Below are 15,168 nucleotides of genomic sequence, written 5' to 3'. Positions count from 1 at the left end.
TCTCTTCCTCCCTCTCCCTTTGCCTCGCACTCGTGATTGTGGACACCGGGACCACTGGACTCGGAGTTCGGCTCAGGGCTGCGGGCTCAGGGATGTGCGGGTTCTCAAAAGAGCAGCGGAGTCCGAGCCGAGTCCGCTGACGGGCTCACGAGCGCTGCGCCTATTGGCTCCCTGGCACGTCGGCGTCCCTCGCTCGCGCGGGCGCGGCCAATAGGGGCGCGGGGCCGGACGCGCGGCCTCGGTGGCGGGGGCGCGGGCCCGGCGCGGCGCGGCGCGGGGAGCGGCGGTAGTGGCCGTGACGTCACGGGAGGGGGTCGGCGCCGCCCGCCAGCAGCCGGATTACAAGCGAACGCGCCCGGCAGCGGCCGGAGTCGCCCGGCATCGCGTCTCCGCCGCTTCCTCCTTCTGTGCCTGCTCCTTCTCGTCGTCCTCCTCTTCCTCCTCCTCCTCGGGTTGCCGCAACCGCTGCGGCCGTGTCTGCCCCGCAACTTTCCAAGAAAGTTCAGAAACTCGGCTACGGGGCTGCCGAGTGGCGCGCGGCTGCCACCTCGGGAGCCGCGGGGGAGTTCCGAGGGCGCGCGGCCGCCCGGGCTTCGCGGTCGCTGCACCTGCCGCGTCCGCCGCCGCCACCGCTGCCGCCCGGTGCCAGGCTGTGGGCAGACCCCGGCAGCGGCGGCGGCGGCGGCTTTGGCGTAGCTTCCCGCCGCCTGCGCCTTCGCCTTCGCCTGCGCCTTCGCCTTCGCCTTCGCCTTCGCCTGGGTCCTCCGCGCCGCCACCGCCGCGCCACGTGCGCAGTCGTTCCTGGAGCGCAAGTTCCGAGTTTTCTCAGAAATTTTTTTAACTCCCCCCGCCCCCCGCATCTTTTTTCTTTCCACCCCTACTTTTTGCATAAAAGAAAAAAAGTTGTGTCGAAAGTATCCACAGATTGCCACTTCCCAATTACCCTTCCTTCTCTCCCCGCCCCACTTTTTTTTTTTTAAGCGGCGGCAACATTGTTTGGTGTTTATTTTGTTTTACGATCGATAGCTTTCTTCGCTGGTTCGGGGCGGCTGCTGAACGGCGGAGTGGCGTGGACCTCATGTAGCAATGACAATGGAAGGGGCCAGCGGGTCGAGTTTTGGAATAGACACGATTTTGTCCAGTGCCAGTTCAGGCAGCCCAGGCATGATGAATGGAGATTTCCGCCCGCTCGGTGAGGCCAGGACCGCGGATTTTAGGAGTCAGGCCACCCCATCTCCCTGTTCGGAGATTGATACCGTAGGGACGGCGCCTTCTTCTCCTATCTCAGTCACCATGGAGCCCCCGGAGCCGCATCTGGTAGCAGACGCGACCCAGCATCATCACCACCTCCACCACAGCCAGCAGCCGCCGCCGCCGGCCGCGGCCCCGACGCAAAGTTTGCAGCCTTTGCCCCAACAGCAGCAGCCGCTGCCGCCACAGCAGCCGCCGCCGCCGCCCCCCCAGCAGCTGGGCTCGGCCGCCTCGGCCCCCAGGACTTCCACGTCTTCTTTTTTAATTAAGGACATCTTGGGCGACAGCAAACCTCTGGCGGCATGTGCACCCTACAGCACCAGCGTATCCTCTCCCCACCACACCCCGAAGCAGGAGAGCAACGCAGTGCACGAGAGCTTCAGGCCAAAGCTCGAGCAGGAGGACAGCAAGACCAAACTCGACAAGCGGGAGGATTCCCAGAGCGACATCAAATGCCACGGTGAGTCCCGCCACCCGGCGCTCTCGGCCGTCTAGCTTGTCCTCCTGGTTCCCAATCTCCCCTTCAGCCTTCAGCAGATCTCTGCTGGGGAGCGATTCCAGGAGCTTCTCGGGCGACTGGGCGACGGTCAAAAGACTGCAGCTGAAGGGAGGCCTGGGCGTGCGATGTGGGGACTCCTCGAAGTTCTGTTTATTGTTCTACCCCACAACCTTCACGGCCATCCAGCTCCTTCCTTTGTTTTATTTAATTTTAATCTACTGGGGGTTGAGGGGCGGCGGAGGGCATCCGACAGGAAATACTTTTCGTTGATAAAAGGGATGGACTTGGGGTTTTTCTAGCCTAGACTTTGGGAATGGGAATGGGGGGAGGTAGGAGAGAGAAACCACTTAGCTAGCGTGGGTGTGATCACAACCTGGTGTTTATTCTTTAGTACAAGTGATTTCACCCCCCCCCCACTTTATTTTCTTAACATCATCACAGGAATTATCGGTTTTAATGGAGGAAAAATTTCTGAGTTCATGAACAGAGCAACTTTAAAAAAATTAGATTGTGGTTAGCCCGTAAAAATTTGTAATAAGTTTCTTAAAAGCACCCTTCTTACCCTATGGCCTCAACTGAGTATCTGTATCCTACAAAGATTTTTGGCCCCTTACAAGTACTTAGGAGGTAGTATTTATAAAAATAAAATCTTATGAAATTGGATTAATCTCTTTTTTGTTAAAAAAAAAATAAGATGACAATGGAAATTGTCCTTCAACTCCCTTTTTCCATTTTCTCATCAGACAATTTCATAAGTAAATGTGGTAGTCTTTGCATGGCAAAAGTTTTAACATACCAGGAGAGCTTTTTCTTCCTTTACAGACACATTGTTTATTATTATTGATCCTTGTTTTTCTGGTAAAGAAATGTACTGACTGGAAGGTAGGATGTTGGCTCCTCATTTTACTATTATAGCATTAGCATAATAGTGTCCAAAACAGATGTACAGTCTGGTCTGGCGATTTTTTGTGCACCAACCTCCCCAGTGGGTCAATTAGAGAGATTATTGTTCTTCCTGCAGGGAAGATCAAGGAGCACTGCACAAACGGGTACAAACAGGGAGGGATTGACATATCGATTTCCCAGCATTTCAGTAAAAAACCAAAGTTGACAAATAGAATCCGGAAATCTCCATGCTGTCACCTGGATGGGCTCAGTGATTTTGAGCTCAACTCGGTGTCTGGGTGACATATTCTTTGTGAAGCTTTAAAAGACCTGATGCAGGTGGCTTCAGAAAGCTTGATTCCAACATTTCCCAAGTGCATCTGAAAAAGTAAAACAAACACCTATAACTTTCAGAAAAGAGAAAAAAGTAAAATGAAAAAGATGCTGCCTCCTCAAAAAAAAAAAAAAAAAAAAAAGAGTAGAGGGACCCTTTGAAAAATCACCACATCAGTGAAACAAAGTCATACTGAAAACAATAAAGAAAAGGGACAGCATCTCTCTCAGTCAAGGAAACAATAACAAAATAACCCTTTTCAAAAGTTTTATTTAAAAAAATTTTTACTTTTTAACTTCCAACCATGTGAAGATCAGACACCCTTTTAGACCCCCTTTAGAAACTCTAAACAAGGTCCCATACTCTCCAGTCTGAAAACAATCCTCTTCCTCCACACTCAGGCTAAGGCGTGAGTGTGTGTGTGTTCTAGGGGTGGCAGAGTGCAGTCCCCCGAAGCCAGTAGTTGGCTTGGGAATGTGGAAGTGTATGCCAGGAGGACACTCAGTCCTTCCCCATTCCAGGCTAACTTACCACCGTGGCTGGGTTTCTATGGTAGGGACAAAGGAGGAAGGAGACCGGGAGATTACGAGTAGCCGTGAGAGTCCCCCTGTGAGAGCCAAGAAGCCTCGAAAAGCAAGGACAGCTTTTTCCGACCACCAGCTCAATCAACTGGAGCGTAGCTTTGAGCGGCAGAAGTACCTGAGCGTGCAGGATCGCATGGACCTGGCTGCAGCGCTCAACCTCACTGACACCCAAGTCAAGACCTGGTACCAGAACCGCAGGTAAGGGAGGCACTTTGGGGGAGCAAAGGTGTCTGGCCATTTAAGTCATGATCATTATACCAATCTTCTTCCCTCCTGGCCTCCAGAGACTCTAAGGACTGAGAGTGACCCTGGAGTGGGCACTTGGGTGCTTTAAGGATGGGGCAGGGATGAGCCACACCCCCAAGGTGAGAGAGACCAAAGGGCAGCTGGAATTTGGACAATTTTGCAATTCTATGTGCTTTAACAGGTGCTACTTTTCCTCTGAAACCCGAGCCGCTGGAATTCCCCCCACTTCATCCCCAAATCAATGAAGCCACACCTTCTCAAATTGAGACATCTGTGCAGCTGACACTTAGGTCCAGAGAGCCTGCGCGGTGCACCCCTTGGGCCCACCCCAGGCTGGTTCCAAAGGTTTGTAGCCAACAACACGGCCCGGCCCAGCTATTGCTATTCCCACAGAGCTGTCCCACCAGCCTCGGCGTAAATGTCCTTGCTTTGGCCTGTGAGGCGGCTGGGAGAAGCAGGATCCAAGCCTTGGTCAGTGTAGCTGCAGAGACTAGGAGAGCCCAGCTGGGTTAGAGTAGGTTTGGCAGCCGCAGCCTGGAGAATCGGCGGCTGGCCAAGCATCCGGACAGGGAGAAGGAAGGAGTGTGGGTCTGTCCCCTGTACTGGCTGCCTCTGCTGTCTCAACATGGAGCTAGAGTGCTGCAGAGCCTGCCTGGCACTGCTCCTTCTCTAGAAGGGAAATTAAGAAAGCAAAAGTGACTGCCAGTGCTCGCAGGGCCACGAAGTGTAGAGTGGAACCTGGGCAATCTGAGGCAGAGGTTTTGCTGTGTTTTCAAGCCTGGCACTCATCTCCTTGTCTCGATTTTCTCTACCCCTCCTTTTCTCCCGTTTGTGTTCTAATCGTCCATAAGTGCGGTTGGAAATGCCCATCCACTTGTCATCTTTACCATAATTTTCTGTCTCATTACATACGGTTTCAGCCACCCTAATTCTGTCGGAAAACATTAGTGTCATTTGTAGCCAATTTAAAATGGGCGACATGTTTATTAATTTGGCTGGAGCTGCCGGGTATGGATGGCCCACCAGCCCTGCGTTCCTTCATAAGGTATTTGAGCAAACGCCCGCTCTCTTCTTCCTAGCAGGGTGTGCAGCGGGGGAGGGAGGAGACTGAGAAAAGCTGATCACAGGTTTTAATTGTTACTTTATCTCTGAGGAGGAAATACCTTGAAATGCATTCACCCCCACCTCAGAATGGCCAGGAGGTACTTTGCCCTTGGGAGAACCCTCCCTCAAATGAATTCCATTTTGAGACCTTGTTGCCATCCTCCCCTTAAGCCCCCTGCCCACTGTAAGGTCCTGTCAGGCTTATGAGAGAAATATGTCTCCCAGCCCTGGGGACTGAGAGGGGCTGGGGTCCCTGGCTTAGGAGTCTCTGCATCCCTTTGTTTACGGTTTCTTCTCTCACAGCCTGGCGGGGAAGGAAGAGGGGCTGAGAGCAGACTCTTTGGGATTGTTGGGAGTTGGGAGATGTGGAAGGGGAACTAAGGAAGGAGGAAAGTGACTGCTTGTGGAAGTCTCCTTTGGCCCTAAGGAAAGTTTCCAGAAGTAGCCAAACTACAAGGGGGGCGACAGCAGAGCAGAGGTTTAGGAAAAGGAAGCAAGGCCTGTAGGATTTCATTTGTGAGGGTCTCAGCCACTGAAGGTGTAATTTACAAAACTGGCTTTGGGTTTGGGTCTTTCTGGGAGCAAGGCTGGGGCAGGAGATGTGGTGCATTGCCAGTTTGAAGAGGTCTCTGAGTCTTCCTGCCACCCAGGGAGAATGAAGGAGGAGGCAGGAAGGGGCCAGAGAAGGGGCCGGGTCTTGGTGCCTGGACCATGCCCACAGCTGCTGGGTGCCTGCACACCCGCTTTCTTTCAGGACCAAGTGGAAGCGGCAGACAGCGGTGGGCCTGGAGTTGCTGGCCGAGGCAGGGAACTACTCGGCGCTGCAGAGGATGTTTCCATCGCCTTATTTCTATCACCCAAGCCTGCTGGGCAGCATGGACAGCACTACGGCGGCGGCGGCTGCCGCTGCCATGTACAGCAGCATGTACCGGACTCCTCCAGCACCCCATCCCCAGCTGCAGCGGCCCCTGGTGCCCCGTGTGCTCATCCACGGCCTAGGGCCTGGGGGACAGCCAGCCCTTAATCCATTGTCCAGCCCCATCCCAGGCACCCCACACCCCCGGTGAAAACATTGCAGCGAAGGCACTGCAATCCCTTCCCCATATCCCTGCCCAACCCGGACTGCTGCCCGTCCTCTCCCTGCTCCAGGCCACTAGGCCTCCCTTGCAGCCAACTCTGGAAGGCAGAGGAGTAAGAGAGGAAGATGCTTACCAGTGGGCAGGGGACCCCCAAAGAGGAGCCAGCCCTCTGCTCTCCATCTCCCCACCCCTAGAAACAGGGCTGGAAATCTCCCCCACAGCAGTGTGACTGGTGAAAATGCTGACCCCACACAGAGTGCAACCAGTAAGTGAAAACATCAACAAAAACAAAACCTCAAATTCTTTTTCAAAAATGACTTTAGGGACAAGCAGGAGGGAGGGAGGGGGGAGGGCTAAGGAGGGAAGAAAGAAGGGCACGGAGCGGAAACAGCACAGGCAGAGTGAACTATATATGGACAGCCTCAAGTGCTGAGGCAAAGGGCGTTGCCGAGGACATTCCGTCTGCCCCAGAGAAAAGAGGAGGGTAACTGAGAACTTTGCACTGATTTCTCATGACCTTTTTTCTTTTGGAAAAGTGGCATGCTCCATAATATGAAAAAAATGTACATTTGAAAGACTGAGTGATAAGTGATATATCATATTTATTATATGTTGTCCAAAAAGAGTCACTTATATACGTTAGTAAAAACATGATTTTTCTTTTCATGTCTTTTCGATTCAGTAAAATAAATGCTTAGACAAAAATATAGATTTTTTTGTGATTGAAAATTACAAAAATAAAGTTTATCTTTTTTTAACAAGTGATGAAATCCAAGGGAGCTGATTTTACTAAAGCAGAATGTACTATGATGAAGTGCTGACTTGGTTTAGAACAACAAATTTCTTCTGAAATATTAGGAATTTACAAAATCCGTAAAGAGGTTGGGTTGGCTTGTATAAAAGCAGCTCCATTTTTCGTGCTGGCCTCTTCCGAACCATTATTTGATATGTATGAGTTCCTTTCTTTTTAAATGGATGGTTTCAAAGCAACCCAGGAGGCTGTGGGAGAAAATCTGTACTTGCAGGCTGCGGGTGCTGGCTAAGTCGGCGGCCAACTTTGCTGCCGTCCTGACCTGCATAGAGGCCCCAGCTTCACCGGTGTGGTGATCCCTCTGTCCTCCCCTCCTCCTTCTTCTAGGGGTCTTCCTGGGGCAGCGAGGGTCCGAAGCGCTGGGCAGCGATGACAACGCCGGCAGGGGCTGGGCGGCAGGCGGACGCTCCTCGAGCCTCGCAGCTGTTCTGCTGCCCGCGGCTGAGCGCCGGCGAGGTCGGACAGCCTGTGAGCGGGAGGCTGTGGGACGAGCAATTAGGACGCCCCCGGGGGACTTGGAGAGGGCCAGCTAACAAACCCTTGTGGCGGCTTTGATCGTTGCCTTCTCAGTCCCTGGCGGCGGGCGTCCAGCCCCCAGCCCCATGCGGAGCCGCTTGTCCTAGTGAGTTCGTTGTGCTGCGATGCCTGGAGTTCCTTTGCAACGGTGAACTCAGGCTGAGACTGGCTGCCAAGCCTTTTATCTGCACCCCTGGGACAGCTGGGACTGCAAAATAGGAGACCCTGCCCAGAGTGTGGAGGAGGCCCGCTGCCTGCTTTAGGAGTGTGTGTGAGTGTGTGTATGTAAGTAAATGTTTGTAGCACCCTGGCCTAAGTCAGTCATAAGCACCACCCCTCACCCCCCGCCAGGCTGGCTCCCCACCAGGCTCAGTGCTCAGGACTGTATGAAGGAGCCACTTAGTGGAGCATACAGTTCCCAGGTTGCTCCTACTCCTCTCCAGCCCCCGGGTCACTTCCTGAGTAGCCAGAGTCAGACCTCCTATCTGGGCATCCTCACATTTCTATCCTCACTCCTGCCCTAGTACAGTGACAAAGGGGTAATACAAGCAGCTAAAATACATCTGGACCTGGCCTCCAACTTTCTCTGATGGTTGAACCTTAGTGTAGTTAAAAATGTTTTTAAAAATGTGAAGTGATGTGGGAATGTATATTTAGGAGGGGTGGGAAAGAAGGAGGGAAGAAAAGTGAAATCCAGGTGGAAATTGCCTGGGGGCACCTTGATCAGACCTTGGCTAATTAGGAAGTGGTTTGCAGATTTCTCTCCAGCTCATCAGTTTGCTTTAAACTTGGTCTTGGTCTTGTTTGATTCTAACAAAAGGGTCTGGACTGGCCCTTCTCATTTTCTGCCTGCTTAGCTGAGACAAACTCAGCTAGCTGGGCTTGGCTGGAAATTGGGCGCCGCTATGTCCAGTTAGGATGTCCAATACCTAGGCACTTAGCAGACCCTCCTTGTTTCATCTTGCAGTTGGGTTTTTTGATCAAGTTTAAACAGTTTAAAAGTGGTCTGCCTAGGCCTAAAAAGGCACTCTCCAAGGTTTGAGGGTGCTATAGCTTCTGTTTGCACTGAAACTGGGGCTGGTCAACTCTAGGCACAAGGAGGGATTTGAGAGGCCACAGAGTTTATGCATACAAAGAATCTTTACAAAGAATTAACTCAGATCCAGGTATGAAAAACACACAAAACTACAAATCCAAATAAGGCCAGAGCACCCATTTGCTGCCAGCAGTCCCCAGCCACCTGCAGGATGGTGGGCCGGGAAGTCTGCCCACTGCCGCTTTACACTCAAGGCTGAACTTGGACTCCTGAGGTGGACAATGCAGGGGGAAGCACTGTGCCTACAGAGACCAAGATCTCTTAATCAACCTCATATTGCTCTGCTGCTAGCAATTACTCAGGATCCATTAGGGTCCTCCCCAAATCCAAGTTTCTTCAAAGTCATGTTTTCTTTCACCCCCTAAATCATGCAGCTGAATGTGTCAATGTCCTTTCTAAATTTGTTTGGTTACCTGCTGTTGCATACAAGTTGGCAGATTGGATGTTGTGGGGTGGGGGATATTGTCCCAGGAAGAAAGTTGGGTGGGTGCCTGGTTCCTTCCTTCCTTCCTTCCTTCCTTCCTTCCTTCCTTCCTTCCTTCCTTCCTCCCTCCCTCCCTCCCTCCCTCCCTTCTCTCCTTCCTTTCTTTTTTTCTTTTATTTTCCTTTCTCTCTTTCTTTCTTTCTTTCTTTCTTTCTTCCTTTCCTTTTCTTTCTTTTCTTTCCTTCTTTTTCTGCAGCAGTACTGCAAAGGGCACCTCAGCAGGTGCCCTAGTATTCAAAAGTCACCTGCTTAAAAGTCAAATGCAAACTCAATTTTTTTCTTCACAAAGGGTCCTTCTTTCCTTCTGTGCCTGCTCAACTAAATTAGGAGGTTGGCTAGGAGGTGAAGAGTGCAACTCCAGGTTTTCTGAGAAGCAAGGAACAAGGTAACAGGCAGAGGCCTATTCTCATGGGAAATCTGGAGTTACAGAGAAGCAGAGGACAGCTGTCCCTGGGAACTGTACTCTTTTTCTTTTTTCCCACCTTCAGCTGGTGTCTGAAGGGCACTCCGTGGCTGGACTCCATTTAGATTGCTCCTTTGATTAAGTCGGAGGCTAGAAAAACAGAGATTTTCAGTGGCAATCTTTGCTTCCTACAGAAACACAGTAATACAAAGTTATTTCAGAGAGACGTTTAAAGACCTACAAAGGCCTCTTAGATTTGCCAACACCAAGATCAGCTCAGGGACCCCAGCAAACCTACACAAATCTGTAGTGAGTGTGAAGGAAGAAGTTAACTCCCCGGCTAGCAGCCAGCTGTTCTAGCCCAAACTAGTGATTTTTCAATGAGTTGCAAAGTAGTGATTGCTTCTTGGCTCCATGCCTCCAGCAAAGATACCTACCACCCTGTATCCGTTTAATTTTGCTCCACCCCTTAAAATGAAAGCCCACACGATGGCAAATTAGACAGTTGATTTCCTCCCTTGCAAATAAAACTGCTTACTCTCCCTCCTCCTCCCTCCCTGCCATCTGACTCCTGCCTAGGCAGCCCTTCCCCAGGAGTCTGTCGGATCCCACCTCCCCTCTTTAAACAAGTGGCTTGTGAGTAGTTTGTTTTGTTATATTTTTAACTTTCTAAAAATATTTGGAAAAGCTCTCCCCAGGGCTAGGGAAACTTTAGTTCTTGTTAAGCCACGTGGTTACAAAAATGTACTGGAAGAGAGCTGCCTGGTTTTTGAAAAAACCAAGCTTGAAGTCAACATGCTTGGAAAGAATGAGACTTTTCACCACTGGTGGACATGCTCAGGGGCGGGGTCAAGCCTTGCAGGGAAATGATGTTTCTTTTGCATCTCTGAATCTTTGGTGAGGGAATTCGGGCTTGCTCTGTACCCTGGCTGTTGACTAGAGAGCGGTGTGCGCAGATGAGTGAGTGGGGGCCTCTCCAGGGATTACTCCTATGGACTCTGGAACAGTATCCCCAAGCTCCTTAAGTCTCCCACTAGGTCTTTACCCAGTCCCACTTTTTAGTCATCTCCAGGCTTCTTTGCTAACATTTGTGTCTTTTTCTGGAGTTAGGGCCACTTATCATAAGGGTCCAGTGCCGAGTGCCCTGACTTCTTACCTTATCCCCAGGGCTGGGTAGGGGTAAGTGAGAGGGGTGTGTGGGGCTGTGGGGAGGTGTGCTTTCAGAGAAAGGGAGGTGTCATTGGCCTCTTGGATTAGAAAACCAGGTCATCTGTCTCGGGGCGATGAGATGACCCAGAAGGGACTATTTCCCCCGGTCCTTCCGGCTGAATTTTGAAGGTCTTTGTCAGTTTGAGTGTTGCTGGGTGGACCGTCTCGGTTAACCTTACATTCTCAGTTTGTCTCCTCTCTCCTCTCCTTGTCCACTGGGTCTCCCGCTCCCGGTTTCTGTGTGCTAGCACCACAGACAGCTCCCAGGGCGCCGGGTGGAGCTAGGTAACCTGGGCTGGCGGGTTCCGGGTAAAAGCCTAGGCGGCCGCAGCGGAGGCGTCTAGGAAGGGTCGGCGGCGCCCGGGGGGAGGTAAGCAAAGTGATTACAAAGCAACCTCCCCGGCAGCGTTTCCTGATTAGCTCTAAGTCCAAACAGGGTCACATTCCAAAGAACAAAATCTTCAGATCAATAAAGTAATTCAAAAACCCAAAGATCTCGGGGTAAGTAGTGCTCAGTGACAGATCAACTGTGAATCGTCCCTATTTAATAAGTTCTTAGTGGAAGCCGAGGAGGGAGGAGCCGGGCCTCAGGTCTGCGGCTCCAAGACCTTGCGCCGCGGCTGCGACGAGGTGGCCGGCGGAACCCTTCTAACTGGCACATACTTCCTCTGTTCGCACAGCTCGGAGCGCGCTCGGCGAGCCGCCGCCTCGGCCACCGCAGGCAGAGCAGAAGCGCTCCCGAGGCAGCAGCCCTGCAGGTCGCGCTGGGCCCAGGCCCTGCTCCCCACCGCGGCTCTCAGCCCGCGCCCTCTCCCTGCAGATTTGGGTCTCTCCCAGCTCTTGCTACTATCTGGTCTGGGACAGCGAGTCGCCCCTGCGGGAGCTCCGCCGAAAAAAGAGGACCTTCGCGAGAGCGAGATTGAACTTGATTTACGATAAAAGGGCCCTGTCACTTTGTGGAGCTGATGGATTCCCGCCCCCACCCACCCCCATTCCCGCCGTCAGACTTCATTCTTTAGTGAAGAGGCCCTCAGTGTGGCTGTCCTCCCGCCTCCTCCTAACGATTCGCATACACGTCGCAGCCAGGGATTTGGCGCGGCGGCCTTGAAGCCCAGCCGCGGCGCGCCGGCTCCGTGCGGGTTCTTGCTCGGCGCGTACCCCAGCTGGGCCCCGCGCTCCTCCACCTTCAGGACCGCCCGGCCGCCACGAGTTCCTGCGCCCGGGTACAGACAGCGCTTCAGGGAGGCATGGGCGCATCAGGACAGGGGCTCTATAGGCCTGGGACGGGAATCCAGACGCTTTCAAGGACGGTACTTGGGATGGCCTACAGAGCAGGGCCCTTCTCTCACATCTCGGGGGGCTCTGGAGGGAATATAAAGCCTTCTTCTCCTGTGAAGACAATAAAATAATCTTTGCTCAGATGGGAGCTCTTATCTGCATCCAGCTTCACTCCCACCGCTCTAAAGACCTCATGGCTGCAAATGATACCTCCTTCAGATTTCTCTTCAATTCTTGGAAGTCAACTCCTCTTTGTTGATCACCCCCTACTTCCCCTTTGGCTCTTCTCTTCCTCCTTCCCACTATAGTTGGAGGTACGAAAATGCTAAGTGGAATTTAGGAACCAGTAGACATATGTAGTGCAATGGATTATCCATGTCTGTAGATTCAAGCGTTATTCGCGAGACGGGGTTTCCCCCAAAGCCTCTGGGGACTGGAGGAAGAGGTGTTCCAGGGCGCCCATTCAGGCACAGTCCATCCTCACGTGAACTAGTAGGGAAAGTTTTCTATAAAACAATGTACATTTATAATGCCTCTTTAGGAGAGAGGAATTAGATATTAGTGGTGCGTTGTTTCCCCACTCCTATAATACAAAATTAGGGTGCCTGTGGTGTAAAAATGGTCTGCATTCTAAAACAAATCAGCTGACAGAGTGTTAGGAAAAAATGTGGAAGTCCGTGCTATTCACTTCCTACTGCAGGAAAGCTAAGTTATTTGGTATAGTTTTCAAATGTCAGAGTCTCCCAAGCACATTAGCTAGGTTTCCTGTAGAGTGAACAGTTTTTCTAATGATTTAATTTTAAGCTTTTGATTTTAAATATATCTCCAATTTGATAAAATTGCCGTGTCATAATTTCTGAAAAATGCAAATAATGTTTGTTAGTAGCATTGATAATCTGATTGCCCAACTTCCTCTTGAACCAACTCTTGCCTCCTGCAGACTGGGTATCTGCAAACTGATGAGCAGAGAGATTCCAGACTAGATATTAAGAAAGACAGTTTCCCACTGGAAGTAGGGTGCATCAGAGCTGTAGCCACTTTAAAGCGTCACCTTCTTATTCATCTGTTTTATTTCCCACAAATGTTCTATTAATGAAAGCTTACCAAATTGTTTCCATTAAATTAAGAGGATTTTAAAGGGACACCTACTTTCTCACTGGCCTTGAGTGAACACACTGAGGCATTGCATTAAACATTATCATATGTGAATAGACACATAAATTTCACATAATCTTTCATTACTATGCATTGATAGATTGGCCCAGAAAGTCACATAAAGCACAATTGGATAACCGTGGGATAGCACACTTCCCTTTGTCTTCCTTCTTTTCTGGATTGCTTTGGAAATTTCTGGGAATCCACATTTCTGATTGCCCCACAAACTTTTCTAACACACATTAGAGATGACCACCAAGAGCCAGATGTTCGCACCAAACAATTCTAGCCAGCGGCATCACGTGACTACTACCCTCGCGGCTGGCTGCGCGATTGCAGGGGCTCTCCCATTGCCTTCTCTTCAGCCATTGAGTGGCAGCTACCTGGGCGTGCCTGGTTGCAGAGCCGGGCCCAAACTTCTGTTATCCATTTCCTCTTACCCGTCTCCTATTATTATTTTGAGTTAAAATTCTTTGCCCCTGCTGGCGCATAAGGGATGATATTAGGCAGCTCCGCACAGCCGATCTTGAGTCTCATGGCCTAATTTTTCCTGCAGAAGGTACAGTGCCTCTCACATGCTGAAAGTCCTCCCACCAAGAAATTTATTGGGGCAGAATTAGATTAGAATTTATATATAAACATTAAGACCTTTCCACCTCATTTAGTAAAGCAACAATGACTGCTTTCATTTCAGAAACTGATAGTAGACATGATGGCCAAGGGTCTGGTAAGAAGTGTCAGGTGGGCGAATTCAAAAGAGGAAAGTTGTGGCCTGCTGGGAGACTTTTAAGGCCCAGGTTTGCAGAATCCTTTCAGCTCCCCATTCCCTGCCTGCCTTGTCCTCCTGATTTTTACTTTGTTATTTCACATGTCTGGGGTGTTTTCATGTGGCCGAAGGTGACAGGTCAAATAAACATTTCCATTGAGAAATGTCAATGATGAAAAGATGACCATGTACATTTAAGCTTGTAAATGCGTTGGATCTTACTATTAATTAATATTTTGGAACATAATTTAAAAACCCAACTATTCAAAACACTGCTTTTTATACACAAGTGCCACATAAGGCATTGGCATTTCAAGAAGGATCCCTTCTATTTGGCAACATGTTTTACGGGCTTTTCTTTTCTTCTCGTGAATGATCTAGTCCCTTAGAGGAACATGACTGGTACTCGGTTCTGTCCAGAAATTTGGCAGAGGATATTTCCAACATCCACATTAATAAGTAATTGAATTTTAAGCAGAGCTGATCTTGATCCAAACCCAGGACTGGAAGGAATCTCAAAAGTCATCCAGTTTAATACCTATTCTAAACTTCAGTTTTTTTCTACAATGTATTTGCTTAATGGTTTTTCTCCTCTCCCATTTTTATTTTTTCCTGTAAGGATAGGAGACAAAAGGGAAGAAAACAGAAAACGCAGGATTACAGCACTTTCAGGTGATTCTTGACCTTCAATTTTAATGGAGTTAAATTTATGTGGTCAAATTCTACTACAAAAGAAACAGACTTTTTGTGAAAATCATTAAAATAACTTTCCTATTGTATAGATAATGCCTGCTAACTGTAGAAGATTTATAAAATGCTAAAAAGTAGAGAGAAGAAAAAAACTCATCTTCTACCACTCACTACTACCATTTGGTTTATAATTTCTGGATTTTTGCAGTGCATTTTTATGTAGTTGTGTCATATTTCATTTGGGATGTATATGTTTTTCCCATGTAATACAAATATTTCTTTATATTATTTAAAACTCTTTGTAAGTGTGATATTTGATATATAATAATCTCTTCCATAAATGTGTCATAATTGTGCCCAGGTGCGGTGGCTCACACCTGTAATTTCAGCACTTTGGGAGGCCAAGGTGGGAGGATTGCTTGAGTCCAGGAGTTCGAGACCAGCCTGGGCAACAGGGTGAGACCCTGTCTCTGCAAAAAAATTAAAAATTAGCCAGATGTTGTGGCACACACCTGTGGTTCCAACTACATGAGAAGCTGAGGCAGGAGGATTGCTTGAGTCCAGGAGGTTGAGGCTGCAGTGAGCTGTGATTGTGCCACTGCACTCCAGCCAGGGCAACATAGTGAGACTCCATCTCTACCAAAAAATTAAAAAATAACTCGGGTGTAGTGGCTAAAAAAAAAAAAGTACCATAGGTGTGTCAACCATCCTTCCATTGCTGGACATTTATTTTCTTTTTTAAATTTTGAGTTAAATTATACATGTATATATATTATAC

The 15,168-nt window shown here is 49.7% G+C and overlaps 1 protein-coding gene across 2 annotated transcripts, besides 2 other annotated features; it reads left to right on the top strand.

The window, feature by feature from the left end:
- The first annotated feature begins 979 nt into the window (after positions 1-979).
- Positions 980-6,743, top strand: BARHL2 (BarH like homeobox 2). 2 transcript variants are annotated; one of them, NM_020063.2, is made up of 3 exons: positions 980-1,711; positions 3,526-3,751; positions 5,658-6,743. In NM_020063.2, the coding sequence occupies exons 1-3, from the start codon at positions 1,087-1,089 to the stop codon at positions 5,968-5,970; spliced, it is 1,164 nt and encodes a 387-aa protein (NP_064447.1). In that variant the 5' UTR covers positions 980-1,086; the 3' UTR covers positions 5,971-6,743. The 2 variants fall into 2 exon arrangements, with proteins under 2 accessions (NP_064447.1, XP_047275572.1); XM_047419616.1 differs by lacking the exon at positions 5,658-6,743 and adding an exon at positions 3,981-5,600.
- Positions 6,730-7,298: an enhancer, noted in NCBI's record as "OCT4-NANOG-H3K4me1 hESC enhancer chr1:91176541-91177109 (GRCh37/hg19 assembly coordinates)". NCBI's record gives its function as "activates a minimal SCP1, AML or CMV promoter by ChIP-STARR-seq in naive H9 embryonic stem cells {active_cell/tissue: H9 hESC(naive)}" and the evidence as "EXISTENCE:reporter gene assay evidence [ECO:0000049][PMID:30033119]".
- Positions 11,443-12,237: an enhancer, noted in NCBI's record as "H3K4me1 hESC enhancer chr1:91171602-91172396 (GRCh37/hg19 assembly coordinates)". NCBI's record gives its function as "activates a minimal SCP1, AML or CMV promoter by ChIP-STARR-seq in naive H9 embryonic stem cells {active_cell/tissue: H9 hESC(naive)}" and the evidence as "EXISTENCE:reporter gene assay evidence [ECO:0000049][PMID:30033119]".

This window comes from Homo sapiens, chromosome 1 (assembly GCF_000001405.40).
Source record: "Homo sapiens chromosome 1, GRCh38.p14 Primary Assembly".
Classification (NCBI taxonomy): domain Eukaryota; kingdom Metazoa; phylum Chordata; class Mammalia; order Primates; family Hominidae; genus Homo; species Homo sapiens.
This window is presented reverse-complemented; position numbering and strand designations above follow the sequence as displayed.